General features: G+C 39.5%; 1 protein-coding gene across 11 annotated transcripts in view; it reads right to left on the minus strand.

The window, feature by feature from the left end:
- DCX (doublecortin) overlaps nt 1-20,764 on the minus strand; it is a 118,414-nt gene that overhangs the window by 15,671 nt on the left and 81,979 nt on the right. For 5 of the 11 annotated variants that reach the window (NM_178153.3, NM_178152.3, NM_178151.3 and 2 more), the window contains exon 6: nt 3,193-3,287. The exons of 3 other annotated variants lie outside the window; for them this stretch is intronic. In NM_178153.3, the coding sequence (NP_835366.1) occupies nt 3,193-3,287 (95 nt within the window). Of the gene's footprint in view, nt 1-3,189; nt 3,288-20,764 lie in introns of all 11 variants that reach the window. 3 more of the 11 variants (NM_001369372.1, NM_001195553.2, NM_001369370.1) reach the window with 1 other exon arrangement.

Below are 20,764 nucleotides of genomic sequence, written 5' to 3' on the forward strand. Positions count from 1 at the left end.
AAGGAGGAGCATGAATCTAGGACCTGAGACCTAGGGGGACTGAGACAGGGTCACAAGCTTTTTATCTTATTCAGAAAAACCAGTTCAATCTTCATTACTGGTGGTGTAAGCATGACACTATTGCTTCTTGATAGGATGCACTGAAAGGATACAACATCACTCCTATGATATTCCTGCCCCAAATTCAGAATCTGAATCTAATCACAGAGAAACATCAGACAAGCCCAAATTGAAAGGCGTTCTACCAAATAACTGGCCTGGACCTTTTATTTCTATAATATACTGTACTGAGAGATAGAGAGTCTCAGGAACTTTTCCAGATTAAAGAAGACTAAAGAGACATGAGAACTTGCAACATGTGATTCTAGACTGGATTTTGGACCAGAAAAAGAACATTATTAAAGCAATTGATAAAGTTTGAATATGGACTGCAGAGTATATAATAGTATTGTGCCAGTGTTAAATTTCCTAATTTTGATGATCATGCTATGGTTATGGAAGAAAAAATCCTTGTTCTTAGGAACTACATACTGACATATTGAGGGATAAAGGGGCATAATGTTTGCCTGTGATATTAATCTCAAATTGTTCAGAAAAAATAGGCCCAGTGCGGTGGCTCATGCCTGTAATCCCAGCACTTCGGAAGGCCGAGGCAGGCGGATCACGAGGTCAGGAAATCGAGACCATCCTGGCTAACACGGTGAAACCTCGTCTCTACTAAAAATACAAAAAATTAGCCAGGCGTGGTGGCTGGTGCCTGTAGTCCCAGCTGCTCGGGAGGCTGAGGCAGGAGAATGGCTTGAACCCGGGAGTGCGGAGCTTGCAGTGAGCCGAGATCGTGCCACTGCACTCCAGCCTGGGAGACAGAGCGAGACTCCATCTCAAAAAATAAATAAATAAATAAATAAAATAAATAAAAGAAAAAATAATAACATGTACTATATGTATTTATTTGTGTATTATTATGTCTACATATATTATACATAGAGAGAGAGAACATAAAAAATAAGTAAATGAGGCAAAATATAAACAACTAGTGAATCCCTGTAAAGAGATACATAAGTTGTTTATTATTTTTGCAACTCTTCTGTAAGTTTGAAGTGATATAAAAATAAAGAGCTTTAAAAATAGTGAGAATTATACCAAATTTAAATGTTTACTTTATTTAAAAGCTTGCTCTAGAAAATGATATAATGTATTACTTAACATTTGCTTGCTTAACTGTCTTTAAAAAGAGTAATTTTAAAAATAAAATGAAACACTGAAAATTCCACAGTTAAGAAAACAGTGAAGCTCTGACAATGCTGCCACCTGTGAGCTTGTTCTAGTCCTTCAATGGTTAGAATTGAGTCAATAAACAAACAAGCTATAAGTGTCTGCAAGCCCAACCAGGAAAAATAGTTTAACAATGCAAACAACTCACCTTGGTGGGCTTGTGGATGATGGGTCCTCAGCATAAATGACCTGAACATGTCAGTTGAAAAACTGAATAACTTGAGTGTGCAGAACAAATGTCCAAGCTGCCTTCACACTTTAGGGAAGGTACCAATGGAAGGTGCTAGGGTAAATCATGCTTACCAAAAGGAAGGTAAGGGCAGAAAGGCATATAGGAGGTGCTGTGTGGACAGTGGAACAACAGAGGTAGACTTCCTATCTTGGCATGTCCATATTTACAAGCTTTACTGCTCAGCAAAGAATAACTAAAAGCCAACTGTAAAAATAATTTTCATCCATCTCATAATCTCTAGGTAACACTGGTTACACAGAGTTCAGCAAATACTTCTTTGGTAAAATGAAATAGCTCAACAGGACAATCAGAAAGTTCTGGAAGGTTCAATAGCAGAAGTTAAAGGGGCCATTAAAGCAATGGAACAGACATTAGAAATTATGGGGCAGGCAGTAGCCAGATTAGCCAGGAAATTAAAAGACTGATATAGAAAAAATAAAATGAAAATGGATGTCGGGCAGTGGTATGCTATTAAATGTTTAGCAACTGGCTGTGAGAAAAAAACAACCTTGACTTATAGTATTTGTTAATGTCCATGGTGTAAATATTCCCACCATGGCCAAATTCAAGTTAAAAACGTGATGTCACTCAATACAGAGTTGAGAAGCAATGTACACAATCAGCTCTCACCACCTACTGTGAGCTGGCTCTGGCACACCACTGGTGGTGACTTGGGTACCACTCTTATAGCTAGATATGTTACCCTAGTAAGTAACTTAACCTTTTGGCTCTCAATTTCCTCATCTGTAAAATGTCAAACCTCATAAGATTATTTAGAGAATCAAATAAAACTAATTTATCTCCATCTAAGGTGTCTTCCAGCTCTGACCATCTCTGATTCTGTGATGCAGTTAGTCATATTGGTGGCTTTTTGCCTTTTACCATCTCACACCAAGTCTTATGAGCAGGAGAAAGATTAGAGAAGGCTAGAGGAAGTTGCTCCACAGTATGGTAATCAGAGAAGAAGCCACATCAACACTGCCTTAGGTATAAGAGATTCAAGGCAGTAACCACTCCACATTTTCTACACAGAGATTTCTGGGTGAGAATCTGTTTGGATAGCGGGGCTAGGGAATTTATGTGCTTTTGTTATTTAATGATATACTTATTTGGAATAGTTTAAGGGGTATACATGGTGGCCAAGGCCAATGCAATGTGTATATGTGCTCTCTTCCTATTCAGCATCAGAATCTGCCTGGTAATGAAAAGTGCACAGCAAAAGTAGGAGCTATTCATTTGTTGATGTCCAGTAAATCTAAATGGAGTAAGTAACTCAGTGCAACTTTTTGGGACTGCTATCTTTGTTATTTCCACTGACTGGTGCCTGGTGACATAAAGTGCCCTGAACACCCCCTTTGCTATGTCTCTGAACTGGGGAGACAAGTGTTCAACCCATGTCCCAAAGCATGGTTTGGTTACCTCATTAGCTTTGGAGACCTTTTGGAAACCCTTTGGAAGAAGTGCTAGAATGTAGCAGGAAATAAGTCAGGAATTGGAGGAATAAATAAAAGTGACTAGAAGCTTGCTCCCTGCTTGGATTCGCAGAACTTCAAGCTAATGAAGCCAGATGAAGAAAATTTCTGGCCTTAATGTGCTGTTGAGTTAGAATGGAAGAGAAAACCTTCACCAAGCCATTCAGGAAACTGAGTGCAAAGAGGTTTAGTAAGGTATAAGAGACATAATACCTTGTGCTTCCGGAGGCTGCCAGGACTGGTGGGCGTAGAGATGGGAGACTGCTTAGACTTGGGGGTAGAGAGCTGGCTGCTGGAGGTTCCGTTTGCTAGCCCAAAGCAAGAGAAAAGGAAGGGATAAAAATCAACAGCATACAAAGGAGCAAGTTATCCTTCCCCTCAGAAGACACTAAGAACATTCAAACAAGGTACACAGACAACCAAGTGATTTGGTGAGTAGAACAAAGGTGAAAAGAAACACATTCCTCAAAAGGGCAAGAACTGCAATCCTCAGTTAATTGGATCCCTATGCAGTGCAAGGCCGTCATCCTCCCACCCTTTCCTCCTCAGTGCTTCCCAATCACAGGGGTCTGTTTCTTTTCAAACATTTTTCATATTCATTCCCAGGTTTGCCCCTAACATCTCTGGGAGGTAGTCTGGGAAGGTATTATTTTGCTTTAATTTTATAGAGGACAAAAGTGAGGCACAGAGAGGTTATGTGCCTTACCTTAAAGGGGAAGAAATATGGGCAATTTGGACCAGTGCACATTTCCTTTGGTGCCAGATGATGGGGTAGGTGAAAGACAGCCCCATTGTTAGTCTCTCCCCCTCTCTTTTCCTGCTCATGCCACACCATTGTGCCTTTCCTACCTCATTCTGCATGTGTGAAAAGAACAGGAGGAAAGAAAGAGAAAATAGGCTAGTCAGGAAGAATGAAAGAGACAGTGGAGGAGAAACAGAAGGTGAAACATTAAAAGAAGGCTCAAGCAGCAGAATGGGCAGAGGAGAAAATCAAAAAAGAGAGAATGACAAAGAGATTGGGAATGGAGGAGAAAAGAGACAAGGAAGATGATAAGATATTAAAAGAGAAGGAGGAAGTTGAAACAGGAAGAAAGGCATAGAGACACATAAAGATCCAAAATGGTAGCCAGAGTCAGGGTTCACCCACATTTGGCTCTAGCCAAGAAAATGCTGAAAATCAGAGTTTCTTTTTAAACATCTTTATATTCTATTGTGTTGCTAAATTGTTTTATATTCCCTTGCTAATGAGCTTTTTAATATCCAATCATGAAGAAAGAAAAGTGGAATATTAAAATGGAACAATTAAACAGCTTTCAAAGTGGATTCTTGTTCAGACACTTCATACTAAAGTATTTTTTTTTTAATCTTAAGACCTAAATTGTTAAACAGAGATATTCTAAAATGTGCTTTAAAAACAAAGGCAAATATCCTGAGGGTGTGTGGAGAGTGGGGGAGAGGAAGAGAGAGGGGGAGGGAGAAAGAGTGGGGGGGAGGGAGACAGAGAGAATAAATAGAAAATTGAAAACATTAAGCAGAAAGATGGCCTGATAGTGTTCCTGTCAGTCCCATAGGTAAAGCTTAAACTGCTGTATCATGAATATTTCCTGAGGATACATTCCTTCTGCACCACTTATGGAAATATTTCCCTAGGTTCTGGAACATGCACATCAACTGTAGAGATGGAAGAGACATCAGTGTAGTGGTTGGTAAGTTTATTTAAGCGCAAGTGAGCTGAAAAATGGACACTTAAGCATTCACTGTCTGGCTTATATCCTCACTCATCTCTCACCCACTCGTTGAGAAGCCCTCCTCCCTGTCATTCTTTCATTTAGCCAGTAGCTATGGAGCTCTACCTATGAGCCAAACAAAGTGTTAGACATCAAGGTTTCAGAGAGGAGTAAGCTACTTCCTGGGGGAGGCAGGCAAGAATTCAGTGAAATAAACGCTAAGACATAGCCTTGCATAGGGTATTATTGGAATTCAGAGAACAGACTTTGAAATCTGGGGCCTGGAAGACAAACAAGAGGAGGCAACACCTGAGAAATCTTGAAAGATGAATCTGAAATAGGCAAATCAATAGAGACAGAAAGTAGATTAATGGTTTCCAAGGGTTGGAGGAAGGGCAGGAGTTTGAAAGTCTGCTAATGGGTACAAGTTTTCTTTGGGGAAGGCAAAGATTCTGACATTAAATAGTGATGATGGTTGTACAACTCTGTGGTCAAACTAAAACCCACTGAGTTGCATATGTTAAATTAGTAAATTATATGTTATGTAAATTGTATCTCAATAAGCCCTTAAAAAAAGAAGAATCAGAGATAGAATCATTCCCATAACAACACATAGGCAGAGAGGATAGGAAGGGTATTCTAGGCATTAGAATTGCCAACATCCTTTCATGTTAACAACCCACAATAATCTAGGCATTGAAGGAACACACTTCAAAATGTTAAGGGTCGCAAAAATTTTTTCCCATGTTGTAGGTTGCCTGTTCACTCTGATGGTAGTTTCTTTTGCTGTGCAGAAGCTCTTTAGTTTAATTAGATCCCATTTGTCAATTTTGTCTTTTGTTGCCATTGCTTTTGGTGTTTTGGACATGAAGTCCTTGCCCACGCCTATGTCCTGAATGGTAATGCCTAGGTTTTCTTCTAGGGTTTTTATGGTTTTAGGTTTAACGTTTAAATCTTTAATCCATCTTGAATTGATTTTTGTATAAGGTGTAAGGAAGGGATCCAGTTTCAGCTTTCTACTCATCTGACAAAGGGCTAATATCCAGAATCTACAATGAACTCAAACAAATTTACAAGAAAAAAACAAACAACCCCATCAAAAAGTGGGCGAAGGACATGAACAGACACTTCTCAAAAGAAGACATTTATGCAGCCAAAAAACACATGAAGAAATGCTCATCATCACTGGCCATCAGAGAAATGCAAATCAAAACCACTATGAGATATCATCTCACACCAGTTAGAATGGCAATCATTAAAAAGTCAGGAAACAACAGGTGCTGGAGAGGATGTGGAGAAATAGGAACACTTTTACACTGTTGGTGGGACTGTAAACTAGTTCAACCATTGTGGAAGTCAGTGTGGCGATTCCTCAGGGATCTAGAACTAGAAATACCATTTGACCCAGCCATCCCATTACTGGGTATATACCCAAATGAGTATAAATCATGCTGCTATAAAGACACATGCACACGTATGTTTATTGCGGCACTATTCACAATAGCAAAGACTTGGAACCAACCCAAATGTCCAACAATGATAGACTGGATTAAGAAAATGTGGCACATATACACCATGGAATACTATGCAGCCATAAAAAATGATGAGTTCATATCCTTTGTAGGGACATGGATGAAATTGGAAACCATCATTCTCAGTAAACTATCGCAAGAACAAAAAACCAAACACCGCATATTCTCACTCATAGGTGGGAATTGAACAATGAGATCACATGGACACAGGAAGGGGAATATCACACTCTGGGGACTGTGGTGGGGTCGGGGGAGGGGGGAGGGATAGCATTGGGAGATATACCTAATGCTAGATGACACGTTAGTGGGTGCAGCGCACCAGCATGGCACATGTATACATATGTAACTAACCTGCACAATGTGCACATGTACCCTAAAACTTAGAGTATAATAAAAAATAAAAAAAAAAAAAAAAAAAAAAAATGTTAAGGGTCATCTACAACAAACCTATAGTTAACATCATACTGAATGGGCAAAAGCTGGAAGCATTCCCCTTGAAAACCAGCACAAGACAAGGATGTCCTCTCTCACCACTCCCTTTTTTGTTGTTGTTTTTGTTTTTTGAGACGGAGTCTTGCTCTGCCACCAGGCTGGAGTGCAGTGGCGCAATCTCGGCTCACTGCAACCTCCACCTCTCAGGTTCAAGTGATTCTCCTGCCTCAGCCTCCCAAGTAGCTGGGACTACAGGCATGCACCACCATGCCCAGCTAATTTTTGTATTTTTAGTAGAGATGGGGTTTCACCATATTGGCCAGGATGATCTCGATCTCTTGACCTCATGATCCTCCTGCCTCAGCCTCCCAAAGTGCTGCAGTTACAGGCATGAGCCACTTCGCCTGGCCCCTCTCTCACCACTCTTATTCAACATAGTATTGGAAATTCTGGCCAGAGCAATCAGTCAAGACAAGTAAATAAAAGGCATCCAAATAGGAAGAGAGGAAGTCAAACTATCTCTGTAGGTGATATGATTCTATATCTAGAAAACCCCATAGTTATCTGCCCAAAAACTCCTTGATCTCATAAACAATGTCAGCAAAGTCTCAGGATACAAAATCAATGCACAAACATCACTAGCCTTCCGAGACACCAACAACAGCCAAGCTGAGAGCCAAATCAGGAATGCAATTCCATTCATACTTGTTAGAGAAAGAATAAAATACCTAGCAATACAGCTAACCAGGGAGGTGAGAGATCTCCACAATGAGAATTACAAAACACTTCTCAAAGAAATCAGAGAAGACATAAACAAATGGAAAAACATTCTATGCTCATGGATAGTAAGAATCAATATCATTAAAATGGCCATACTGCCCAAAACAATGTACAGATTAAATGTTATTCCTATCAAACTACCAATGACATTCTTCACAGAACTAGGGAAAACTATTTTAAAATTCATATGGAACCAAAAAAATAGCCCAAATAGCCAAAGCAAGGATAAGCAAAAAGAACAAAGCTGGAGGCATCACATTACCTGACTTTAAACTATACCATAGGGCTACAGTAACCAAAACAGCATAGTACTGGTACAAAAACAGACACATAGACCAATGCAACATAACAGAGAGCCCAGAAATAAGGCCACAAACCTACAACCATCTGATCTTTGACAAAGTTGACAAAACTAAGCAATAGGGAAAGGACTCCCTATTTAATAAATGGTGCTAGGATAACTGGCTAGCAATATGCAGAAGGTTGGATCTCGGCCCTTTCCTTACACCATATACAAAAATTAACTCAAGGCGGATCAAAGACTTAAATGAAAAACCCTGGAAGATAACCTAGGCAATACCATTCAGCACATAGGACTTGGCAAGGATTTAATAATGAAGACATCAAAAGCAATTGAAAAAAAAAAGCAAAAATTGACAAATAGGATCTAATTAAACTAAAGAGCTTCTGCACAGTGAAAGAAACTATCAACAGAGTGAGCAGACAACCTACAGAATGGTAGAAAATACTTGCAAATTATGCATCTGACAAAGGTCTAATATCCATCATCTATAAGGAACTTAAGCAAATTTACAAGAAATAAACAACCCCATTAAAAAGTGGGCAAAGGGCATGAACAGGCAGACACTTTTCAAAAGAAGACATTCATGTGGCCAACAAGCATATGAAAACATGCTTCACATCACTAATCATTAGAGAAATGCAAATCAAAACCACAATGAGATACCATCTCACACCAGTCAGAATGGCTATTAATAAAAAGTTGGCCAGGCACGGTGGCTCATGCCTGTAATCCCAGCACTTTGGGAGGCTGAGGCAGGCTGATCACAAGGTCAGGAGTTCGAGACCATCCTGGCCAACATGGTGAAACCCTGTCTCTACTAAAAATATAAAAATTAGCTGGGTGTGGTGGCGTGCACCTGTAATCCCAGCTACTCGGGAGGCTGAGGCAGGAGAATCGCTTGAACCAGGGAGGCGGAGGTTGCAGTGAGCTGAGATCATGCCACTACACTCCAGCCTGGGTGTCAGAGTGAGACTCGGTCTCAAAAAAAAAAAAAAAAAAAAGTAAAAAAATAATATGCTGGCAAGGTTGTAAAGAAAAGGGAATGCTTATGCACTGCTAGTGGGAGTGTAAATTACTTCAACCATTGTGAAAAGCAGTGTGGTGGTTCCTCAAAGAACCTAAAACTGAATTACCTCAGTGTACCCTAAAACTTAAAGTATAATAATAATAATAATAATAATAATAACAATAATAATAATAATAAAACTGAATTACCATTTGACCCAGCAATCTCATTATTGGGTATATACCCCAAGGAATATGAATCATTCTACCATAACAACACATGCATGTGTATAATCATTGTAGCACTATTCAAATAGCAAAGACATGGAATCAACCTAAATTCCCATCAATGATAGACTGGATAATGAAAATGTGGTGCATATACACCATAGAAAACTATGCAGCCATGAAAAAGAACAAGATTATGTACTTTGCGGTACCATGGATGAAGCTGGAGGCCATTATCCTTAGCAAACTAACACAGGAACAGAAAACCAAATACTTAATTTCCCACTTATAAGTGGGAGCTAAATGATGAGAACACATGGACACAAAGAGGTGAACAACAGTCAATGGGGCCTAATTGAGGGTGGAGGGTGGAAGGAGGGAGAGGATCAGAAAAGCTACCTATCAGGTACTATGCTTATTACCTGGTTAACAAAATAATCTGTACACCAAACTCCCATGACATGCAGTTTACCTATATAACAAATGTGCACATGTATCCCTGAACCTAAAATAAAAGTTAAAAAAATGCACCAGCAGGGACAAAGATATGAATGTGTGAGAGAATACATTATGTTTACAGAAGTGCAAGTAACTCATAATGGCTCAAGCACAGGGTGCCAGCAGAGAGTTTCAGGAGATGAGGCTGGAGACAGAGGATAAGGGTCAGCCCCTGGGGGCCTTTTTGTGTAGCCTGTTAAGAAGTTTGCATTTGGTTTCTGAAGGAGAGTCACAGAAGAATTTTAAGCTGAAAGTGATATGATCAAACTTGCATTTTAAAGCTCCAGCTGCTGTGGTTGGTTAAGACTGAGGGTAGAGTGGGAAGGGGTAGGGTAGAAGCAAAGAGGTTGGTTAGAAGACATTGCACTAATCCAGGTGAGGGATGATGATGGTTCACTAAGGCCACGGGGGAGGGAGAGAATGAACACCATGGTAGATAGGGACCTAGAGGCCAGATAAGCATAGAGTAGTGTGTTTATATACCATACAACCACCCAAAGAACATACATACATACAACCACCCAAAGAACATGACCTGTGCCAAATAGCACCAAGAATGTGGGCACTAGACTTTGTCAAGGCACTAGGCTTTTTGTGAATAACAAATGCACTTTGGAAAAGGCAAGAGTCTGTGGAGTCGCAATGGGGCAAAGCAGTCAATTACTCTTTGTAGGAAATGAAGGAGTTAATAGTTGAAACAGTTAATGGACCACCTACAGTGCCTGAGGGCTTCCCCAGCAGGACCTGACCTGTCGCACTCAAGGTAAGAAGCAATCTTGGAGACCTATATGAGCTGACACAATAGAACTCTTCCAAAAGAGCTGTGACCTCGGCCATAAAGTCTGAGTGGTGGGCAACCCCGGTAAGTTCTCCTCTGGCATTTTGTTTTACATGATTGCTATATACTTTACAGATTCTAGTGTCCCAGTATTTGTTAGCCAAGCTTTATAGCCTCTCTATATATTCTCTGCATATGTGTACGTTTATATATGTTCCCAATTCCCCTCCACCCATTACTCTCCCTTTTAAAATTAAGAATTAATCTTAAGCTGTCTGTAAATAAAGGACTTAATTTTGTCATCAACATTCAACAAGCATTTTGGAAATCAGCTTTTAATAATTTAACTACCATTCACTTCACTGTTGTAAAAATGCAGACACTTTGTCAGACGTTCCCAGAGTTCCCTGGTAGAATGAAATCCAAAAGTGGACATAGAGAAATTAAGTAATGTAGACTTGCACAGTTAAATGTAGATTCATTACAAGCTAAAGGAGGCCCTACATTTACAGACTAGATAAAATGTATTCAAGTGCACACTTTGTCTATGGATTCTGTGGGGAAAAAAATCTGGAAAGGTGCCATTTGACATGGATTCTAGAGCCAATTCACATAAATGTCAAGTAAAAGAAGCAGCAGGAAATAATACAAATAGGGTCTGATGAACTTTGTGTCCTTGGATTGGTAAATCCATGTAGATCCACATTTCATTTTAAGAGTGGCTGGAAATGGCACCACTGTTTGATATCCTTCATTTTCCTTTATTCTTCTTTGCTAACCATCCTTAGCTCTTGTCTCTGAGCTTTCATTTCTAAGCGGCAATTAGGAAATGCCTTGGTGGATCTTCTCCTTAACTTGTCTCTCTTTCTCATTTCCCTTCTCAGAACCACAGCATTGTCTCACTGTTCTGACCTTTTATTTATATATGGTACAAATTCTCTCATCTCTTTCAACTCTTTTATAGTCCATTTTTCCCCTTGGCAACAAGGGGCATCAAAAACTTTTCTATCTCCTAGGCCACCTTTTCAATCTTATCAACAAAAATAGGATAAAAATTACTCTTTATTGAGTGTCTATGATGGGTCAGGCACTCTTCTTTCTCTCTCTTTCTTTCTCTCTCTCTCTCTCTCACACACACACACACACACACATGCACACACATGTTCCAGCTAGGGGTAGCAAACACAAGATTTGAATGTAAGTCTCTTTGATTCCAAAGCCTATATGGTTTTTTTGTTTTTGCTAACATAGGCTCTTTAAAAAATAATAATAATAATTGCTTCTGAAATTCCTTCCTGTGACAATTTTCTGATGGAGGCTAGGGAGGAGGGTGAAAGTTGTGGCTGAGAAAAGAGAAAGTAATGAAAAGAAGATAGACACCAGAGCTGACACCCATCTTCAGGGCTTCTATACTATTTGTCTGGTTTAGATTTAGAAAGTGGTTAGCAAGAGCTTTCTTTCATTCACCGAACCAGCTGGGTATCATACACAGTGTCATAAAACAATAGCAGACAGAGCATTAGCATGACATGTAACTACCCTCATGTTACAGAGTTCTCTGGGAAGATAGTATCTATGCCCTGCCTGTCAACCCTCTCAGTTGGTGCCCTTCAGCTACGCAGCACAATTGCCAAGCTTGGTCCTGCAGTCTTGGTTCACTGGCTCCTCTGAATGATTATGCCTGTTCTTGCCTTTGTACTCATCTTTAGCTCCTTGGCTCTGTCTGCCTTTCCTGTCAGAATGGAACAGGACAAGCCCAAACAGGATGGTTGGTAAAGAAACTAGGCTGACTTATCTAGATTTACAGAGATTTAAATATATGGGGGAAAATGGGTCCCTGGGGGATGAGGAATAAGGGGTATGTGTGTGGATGGGGTAGGGAGAGGTTAGTTCCCAAAGAACAATGAGAGAGTCCAGTTTTTGGTGCGAGTGGCCAAGGACAGAGTGGGGTCACTAGCCAGGCAGAGTGGATGCTAAACTCCCAAACTGTGGATACCCTTGTCTGGGAGGCTGGACCAATTCCTGGAAACTAGGAAGCAACTGAGTACAAGTTGGGCATAAGAGGCCCCAGGTGTAGCAATTATAGAGCTGCCTAGGCAGCAGGTTACATGAGTCATTATACTTTCTGGGCTCAAGTTTGCATGACCAGAATGGTACAGAAAATAAAGGGACAGCTTGGCATCTACTTTTCTCCCAACCTTTGACCACAGACCAAACCAAGTTAATGCTCATTCACTTAGCCCTGGCTTTCCCTCCCATCCTAAGCCCAACATTTGAGCCCAACTCAAAATCAAGCCTCGTGGTTTTTATTTGATGTCATTTTGAAATATTGCTCATTGAAAACAACCCCAGTTTATCAAAAGAGCTATGATAATAATTTCAGAGCCCTTTTTATAATTTCAGCTGTTTTTCTGCAGTTATTTTTAGAGCATTTTACCATACATGAACTCACATTATTCTCCTGATAGCTCTAAGAGATGGTGGCCAGGTATTACTAGTCTCCTTTCAATTAACAAGGATATAGGGGCTCAGAGAGGGTATGGCTTGCGTAAATGGTATAAACTCTGCCCCTTCTCACTGGATAGTGGCTTCTGGACTTGCTCACAGATTCTATTTCAAAATTTCCTTAAAGTTAGCACACCACATACCTCCCACTGTGAACTTCTAGTGATTCATTTTCTGTCTTGTGTTCTGTAACTCCCTAATGCCTTGCAGAGGGAGATCTCAACACACAATTCTGCCACTTCCTCATTTTTCTCATACTGAGATGCTCTAAGATTTTATTCATTCCAGTCCAAAGATACCTTGTTTTCCCCTTACAAATAGAGGGAATTTTCCTGGAAGGCCATCCAAGTGGATCCAAGGTGGTTTCAACTTACTTCAGAACAAGGTGAAGAGACAGACCCTGTGGTTTTCACAAATACATTCCAAAGAGCCCTTGGGCAGGGTGTCTGGATTGCTTTGGCTAATTGTTTCTGCTCAATGGAAAAGCTTTTGTCCCTCTCCCTAGACCCATCCATTAGGGGAGCAAGAACTGAGAGCCTGGGAATAGTTCTTCAATGATTTGATCATAGGGTTTGCTCTCAAGCCAAATTCAATTGTAGGTTGTGAGACACTGTAACTTCAGAAGATGGAATTTGAATTTTAAATATATTTCCTACGGAATCTTGGACAGCATGAAGTTATGAATCCTTTAAATAAGGGGGAGAAGTAAGAGTCTTCCTTGTTACAAAACAAATGTATATACCCAATCCTGCAATATTTTGACACAGATGAGTTTCCCTCAAGAAGAGGACATCTGTAGAGGGGCTGATGGAAGTGCCAGAATTGTTTTCTCAGGGTTGACAATGCTGTCAACATTTATTTCCTACTGAGAAACAGAACATGTTTCTGGTGGAGCTAGCCTGTTGTCAACGCTGACTGCTGGTTTTCCTGGTGCAGGGACTAGGATAAACTGCACTGTTCTTAATTTGTGAAAAGAACACAGGCTTTGGAATCAGTCAAAGTTTTAAATCCTGGCTTAGCCATTTCCTAGATTTGTGATCCTGGGGCTAACCTAACCTCTCTGAGTCTCAGTTTCCCCATCTGTAATATTTGAATAATAATTATCTCAATTGTTGCTGTTTTGATGATTACATGGCAGACTATACATAAAATGCTTATCTAAGTGCCTGCCACATAGAAAAGAGTTCAATAAATTGTATTTTCTGTCAATATTACTACCACCACTACTAGCACTGAGTAAGTATTCAATTTATAGGCACTGAGTTAGGAAATCCTAGCCCACAAGAGATGAGATATCATTCTATGTAGGCTGAGGGCTAGTTCTTTGGCTAGTTGGTCAAGTATCAGATAATCGAAGCTTTCCTTAGGTGAAGCCTATTATTTCTGTTTTTTTTTTTTTTTTTTTTTTGCATTTTACTGCTGTGCTCCCCAAAGCAAAATGATTGGCCCTATCCTGTTCTCTCTTTTTACCCTCTCAGCATTATTATGGCAGGGGAAGCTGTGTTGGTCAATGAACAGTGTGGAGCCACTGAAAGTTTTGGAGCAGGGAAGTAGCACAATGAAAATGGTGTTTTAGGATGAGAAATGTGGTGGCACCACACCACATGGATAAGTGGACAGAGATTTGAAGCAGAAATATTGCTAAGGAGTCTGCGAAATAATCGAGACATCAGGTCATAAGAGAAAGGAAAGGACTGCTGTATAAGTCACATGGAGATGGTTCACATGTCCAACAATGATAACAACAGCACACAGTGGGTATGCAGGATTAATGAGTGGGAAGTCAAAAATAGCACCAGGGTGTTGAACCCGGGAAGCATGATAATTCTATTGTCAGACAAAGAGATGGGAGGTGGAAATGCTTTTGATTTTTAGATAGCTTGTATTTGTCACATATAAGCCATATACACAGGATTGTTTAGTAGGCATTATGGGTCTGACATCCAGAAGGAAGATCGGGGCTGGAGAGGTAGAGTTAAGAGCCTCCTTTGATAAGCCATATTCATCACCACCTCTGCCCCTTTGTTCATGCTTCCCTGACAGCCAGAAGTATCCATCTCCTTATCAATTTACATATAGCCCTTCTTCAAGTTCCAGTTCTCCCAGGAATTCCTCCCTTAGCACCTTAGTCCCTAATGAGCTCTCTCCCATGAACTCCAATAGTTCCCATAATACTTACTACCAGTATCTATTATGCATTTTGCATTTAAATAAGTTATTACCATTAACATGGCATTAATGGTTCAGTGGTTAAAATTGTGGACTGTGGAGTCAGATTGCTTGGGTTTAAATTCCAGTTCTATCATCTTACTAGCTGTGTGATCTTGGGCAGGTCACTAAACTTTTGTATGCCTCAGTTTCTTCATCTGCAAAATGGGGATAATAGTAATTGCCTCACAAGGTTGTTGTAAAGATTAAATTCGTTAATACAAGTAAAGCGATTAGAACAGTTGCCTGACACATAATAGGAGCTATATAAGTATTTGTAAATATATTTTTAAAATTTACATGTATACTGGTTACCCAAATAAATCATAAATTTCTTAGTGGCAGGGAATTCATCTTAACATCCCTTTTCTTCATAGCACCTAGCACTACTAAGTACTTTAGAGGGGTACTTTGCACATTCAGTTGTATGTAAACACAAGTCCCAAGCCAAGACTGGCTGATAAGACTCATGTAGGGAAATATCACCATATACCATGCACTATGGGGTGCTCACTGGCACCCACTATACTGCTTGCTCCAATCATTTTCTAAGCAGGTTTTAGAAGAATCAGATTGGAGGAGGAACTGGGGAAGTTTTTCTCTTCCCACAGCTCTGTCAAGGACACCACTTCCCTTTGGAGTTGCTGGTAGGGGAGCTAGGGGAGCTGAAGGAATGTCTAAGCTGTCTTGTTTCAGTGCTCTGTAGCACTGAAAGGCACCTAATTACTTGTGGGACTTTGCTCAAAGCAGCACAAAGGAAATGACACAGACACCAACCCACCCCTTGCCTTTCCACCTCCCTAGCCTGGAGATGGGAGAAGGGGAAAAGAAGCCAAGAAGCAAGGACCATCCAACGTAGACCTTTGCATTCACCAGACAGCACATCCCACATACTAACTACTGTGTGTCAGTGGGACACTGCGAATAATGCTTGTTGGGAAGTCAGGAGAGCGATGTTCTGGCTCTTGGGTGCTAAGTAATGTGTGACATGGAAGATCCCAAGATCCTAAACTTTGTATCTTAGTTCCCCAATGAAAAAAAAAGATAATTATCAATTTCCAACTTAATTCATAGTGCAATTATGAGGAACAACTGAGGTAATAGATTTGGAAATATTTTGCAAAGTGCATAGCATCTAATTCACGTAAAAAGATTGTTATCATGAATCTCTCTTAGCTAGAGAAGAAAGGTATTCTTGTGCTGTTTAAAACAGTAGCCAATAGTCACATGGCTGTTGAACATTTGAAGTGCGGCTAGTCAGAACTGAGATACGTTGTAAGTGTAAAATACAACTCAATTTCAAAGAATGTGTAATTTATTACATTAATTATATGTTAAAATGATAATATCTTGAATGTATCATTATATGAAATATGTCAAAATTAATTTTGCCCATTTTTTAACTTTTTAAGATGTGGCTACTAGAAAATGTAAAATCACATACATGATTTACATTTATGGCTCACATTCTATTTCTATTGAGCAGAGCTGGTCTAGACAGTCACTTTCAGGAAGGTCAGAATGACCAAGTCCCTCTATCTTAGGCAACCCAAAGCAGCCTACTAGTTTCAGAAAAGAAGGACCCTGGGATACAGGTCTTTCATGAACCCTGCTGTTTTGTGTCCCTTGACCTCCCCTTCTAAAGGCTGTATATTTTGTTAGAGAAGGCTTTCTTTCTTATGAATTTGGGAACGGAAAAGATCGGACTTTCAGAAATAGGTGCACATGAGTTGGGGGAAGGGGAATGGAGAACATTGGATTGCTACAACAATGACTTACTGTTGAAGAATAGCAAACTAATTATCACATTACAATTCTCTCAGCCTACCAGGGTGGGTAATTAGCTTCCTTCGGGGGCTCCTTAAAAAAAAAGAAAGAAAGAGAAAGATTCCTTCCCAGCAACTAGCTATTTTGTCCTTTTAATTCAATTCAATTCAACTGGGGACAAAGTTACATAAAGGGAAAATTAACACATTAATGGCTGAAATGGAAACAGAGAGAGACATGTCTTTCTTTAGTTCTGAAGCCAGGCTTACCTTCGCTCATCAAAATGGCAAGTCCGGGGTTAATCAAAGTGTGGCACTGCATAAGCTTTTTTCAAATATCCCATAGGAGCCTCCTGGGCTCAGATTTTATCTTTTTTACCACAGTTCCATGGCCTGATTTAAAGACAGACATAGCTAATATGACTTGGATTCTAAGAGTCCATCAGTTCTGCCCGGTGAAAATGAGCTCCTTACAGAAATATTATATAGACAACAAAATCCTTACTTAACTTGAGTTTAGGGCTTAGCAACAGACATTCCATTTGGGGCAAACTCAATATTGGCAGAAGTGAGGATTGAACTTGAAGGAAATAAAGTAGAAGGATTTGATTTATTCATGGGGCAGAACAGGAAAGGGACAACTTAAGGTCTAAAGACTAAGGAATAAAGAATCAAATTATAGCACAAATTACAGACCAAATAGCATCAATTTACTAAACCTCAAGTCAGAATGAACCTAGCTATTAACTGAACCATGAATTTGACCATATAGATATAGATATAGATATCTAGCAAACTTGTTCAAACCAGAATCAAACCTGTATATTTTCCAATGAAGTAGAACATCAAAACATTCCTTAAACTGAACCTGAACCCAGCCAATGTTTCATTTGGTTAGAATTCCTGCTAAAGAGGAGCACTTTTGGTCTTTCTTTTGTCTTCAAAGGAAGACAATCTTCCATTGGTCTATCTTCCATAGACTTGGATTCTAAGAGTCTTTTGTTACTCAGGTTGAAAGAAGTTTTATAAATCTGTTCACAAGTTCCACATCCAAGACTGACTAACACAGGATGGAAACAGGGTGGTACTACCATGTCCTAGAAATGAACAAAGCCTGTTTGCCCCACCTAACCTATTATCATTTGGTTAAGTGTATTTTAACCTCTACATGTCCCTGGCTAACAGCTAAAAAAAATTGACATTTTATGAAACAATTGTTACTTTTTAAATCTCAAATGTCTGTAAGGAGAAATTTATGCCATATGAAAAGTATGCACTGTCTATAGCTTATCATTCTGGTTATCCGCTTTTGTTTCTGTGGGAGCTATTTTACAACTCTGTAAATTGTAAATAACTGATAACAATGGAAAATTATCCTTATCTATAGAGATTCAAATTCTGAATTATCTAACGATGATATCGAATCTCAGAAAAGGCAAAAATCTTGCACAAATCACAAAGCTAGGAAGTGGCGTAGCTGGGACTTCTTAGAGAGTCATCTCCCTCTCCTCTTTCATATCTTACCAATCTCCTCGTCCCAGCTTGGAATGGTCCTGAGTGAGGTGGAAGTGGAGAGGGAAAATGGGTATAGCAAATCCAAACTTTAGCTAAGGTACTGTTTTGCCTGAGATCAGCTTTGCCCTTATGGAATGTTCACTGAATGGATGCCTTGGACTAGGCTTTAAACAAACTCCGATGAAATGGGCTTGGTTATGTTACAGCCCTTCAGGGTTGGAATCATGAGGAGGCTATAGACACATTATCTGAGATGAGCCCAAACATTCTGGCAATTGCCATAAAGATTGTCTAGACTAGGGTTTGACTTCATTTATGTTCATGAACATCAGAATATAAATGAATATTCCAATTCTTTAAACTGAGAACACCATGTTAGATTGGTGGTAGGAAACAGAGGTTATTTGTAATTCTGCTATCTGCCAAGCAAATTCCCCTCATACACCCAAATTGGTTACTCTGTTTATCGTGTGGGTTGGAATAAATCCTCATTTCTTTTTTTCTTTTTTTTTAGTGAAGGAGTTATGAAAAAGCAAGAGCAGATCTTGCCTGCCAAAGCCTGGGTTGGGATCTCTTATATTGTAACTCCCTTCAATTTGACAAATATTCATTGAGTTCTAATATATTCACGTTATATCTCTGATATTTTAGAGTCACTGAGGTGCATATTTTGTAGAAGGGAAATTCTGTAGGTGGCATTCTGGAGATCAATGATTTGACATAGATTTAAACTGTGTAGTTATAGGTAGTTGTGTTCATGTGTGCTGGGTAACCAATTGGATGCAGTCTGCAAAGAGGATCTATTTACTTCAAGCTGATACCACCTGAGAATTTCTAACTGATGGGTTATATGGTGGTTTAAAAACAGATCTACAAATTCTTCAACACTCTTTCCTTTAATAAATAGAGTCTGGTTCCTCTCTCTTTGAATGTAGGTTGGACTTAGTGACTGCTTCCAATGAATATAATAAAGGAGAAGTGACAGTGTTGGCTATGGAGACTAGATCACAAAAGGCAATACATCTTGTTCTTTATTCATTCTCTTGGATCACAAACTAAGGTAGGAGATCTTGCCAACAGCCATATTGTAAGTGGATCCTACAGCCCCAGTTGAGCCTTCAGATGACTGCAGCCCCTACTAATATTTTAATGATACCCACATGAGAGACTCTGAGCCAGAACCACCTAGATAAAACACTCTAGAATTTCTTGCCCACCAAAACTGTGAGATAAAAAAAAAATGCCTTTTCTTTAAGCCACTAAGTTTTGGGGTAATGAATTTGTTTCACAGCAGGATACAAGTAATACAGGTTAGAAATCCCAGAAATAGCTACTGCTGTTTCTGAGAAATGATTAGCTAAGCAATTATTGCCAGACTTTATTAATCTTGACCAAGTGTTTTAAAGTGTATTTTTTGCAATTCTCTGCTTAAAAACTGTCAAATTTTATTCTCAGCCCAGGTGTTAAAACCTAGGTCTTTGTAGTTTCAGCAATATAAATTTGCTTAGATATAGATTTATGTGCTCTTCTGTACATTTGAACAAGATAGCATCAAGGCACATGTATTTTTTATTTCTTCAGCAAACATTATCTAAATGCTTGATTGGTCTCTAGCACCATGTTGGGTAAAATAGGTACTGTTGTGCATCTATTTATTCACAAATATTACTGGAGCATCTACTAGGGGCCAGGCACTATGCTCTGCACTGATGATATGAAAATGAACCTACCACATTACCTTTGAGGGGCTCAGCATTTAATTGGGGAAGTAGACAGGTAAACACATACTTGACAACACAGTGTGGTGAATATTACCCCAAAGATATGAATGGCATGCTATGGTATTGCAGAGACTGGAACAATTATCTCTATGTGAGGTCTTGAAGGATGAATAGGAGTTTTCAAGCAAAAAAGGCTGATGGGTTAGAGGATGGCATTCCAGGTATGGGGGAACAGGGAGTGCAAAGACATGGAAGTACTAAAAGCCTGGGTTGCCTTTTCATACTTTAATTTCCTCAACCCAAGAATAAAGAGATGGCTGGTAATATGCATGCTCCTGGCAGTCTGATGCAGGCAGTACAGGCTATTCATCTTGGCACCAGCATTTCATAGCCATCAGGCTACTCATGATGCCCCAAACTGAAGGGCCCTTTTGTTTTCCCAAGGCTCTCAGACTGCAAGAATTCTCATGATAAATTCTGAGCCTTGGGATGACAAATGTATAAGTATTTTGGACCATATAGTTTCCTTAGTGTGAAGAACCTCAAATTGTGCATAAATCTAAGCTTCTGAACTTGGACTTCTAAGGCCTTTTATTTTTGATATTTGTTATAAAAGAATGGAAGACATTGCCTCTTAGATCAGTGTCACTCAAACTGTGGGTCCAAGACAAGATAGGGTTCACATCAGAATGCAAATCAACATACTGCTGCCTTCATCAATAAAATCAGGCTCTGAAAAAAAGGCAGCTGAGCTAAATGGTTTGCTTAATGGCATAGTTTATTTAC

The sequence above is a fragment of the Homo sapiens genome, chromosome X, assembly GCF_000001405.40.
Source record: "Homo sapiens chromosome X, GRCh38.p14 Primary Assembly".
Taxonomy (NCBI): domain Eukaryota; kingdom Metazoa; phylum Chordata; class Mammalia; order Primates; family Hominidae; genus Homo; species Homo sapiens.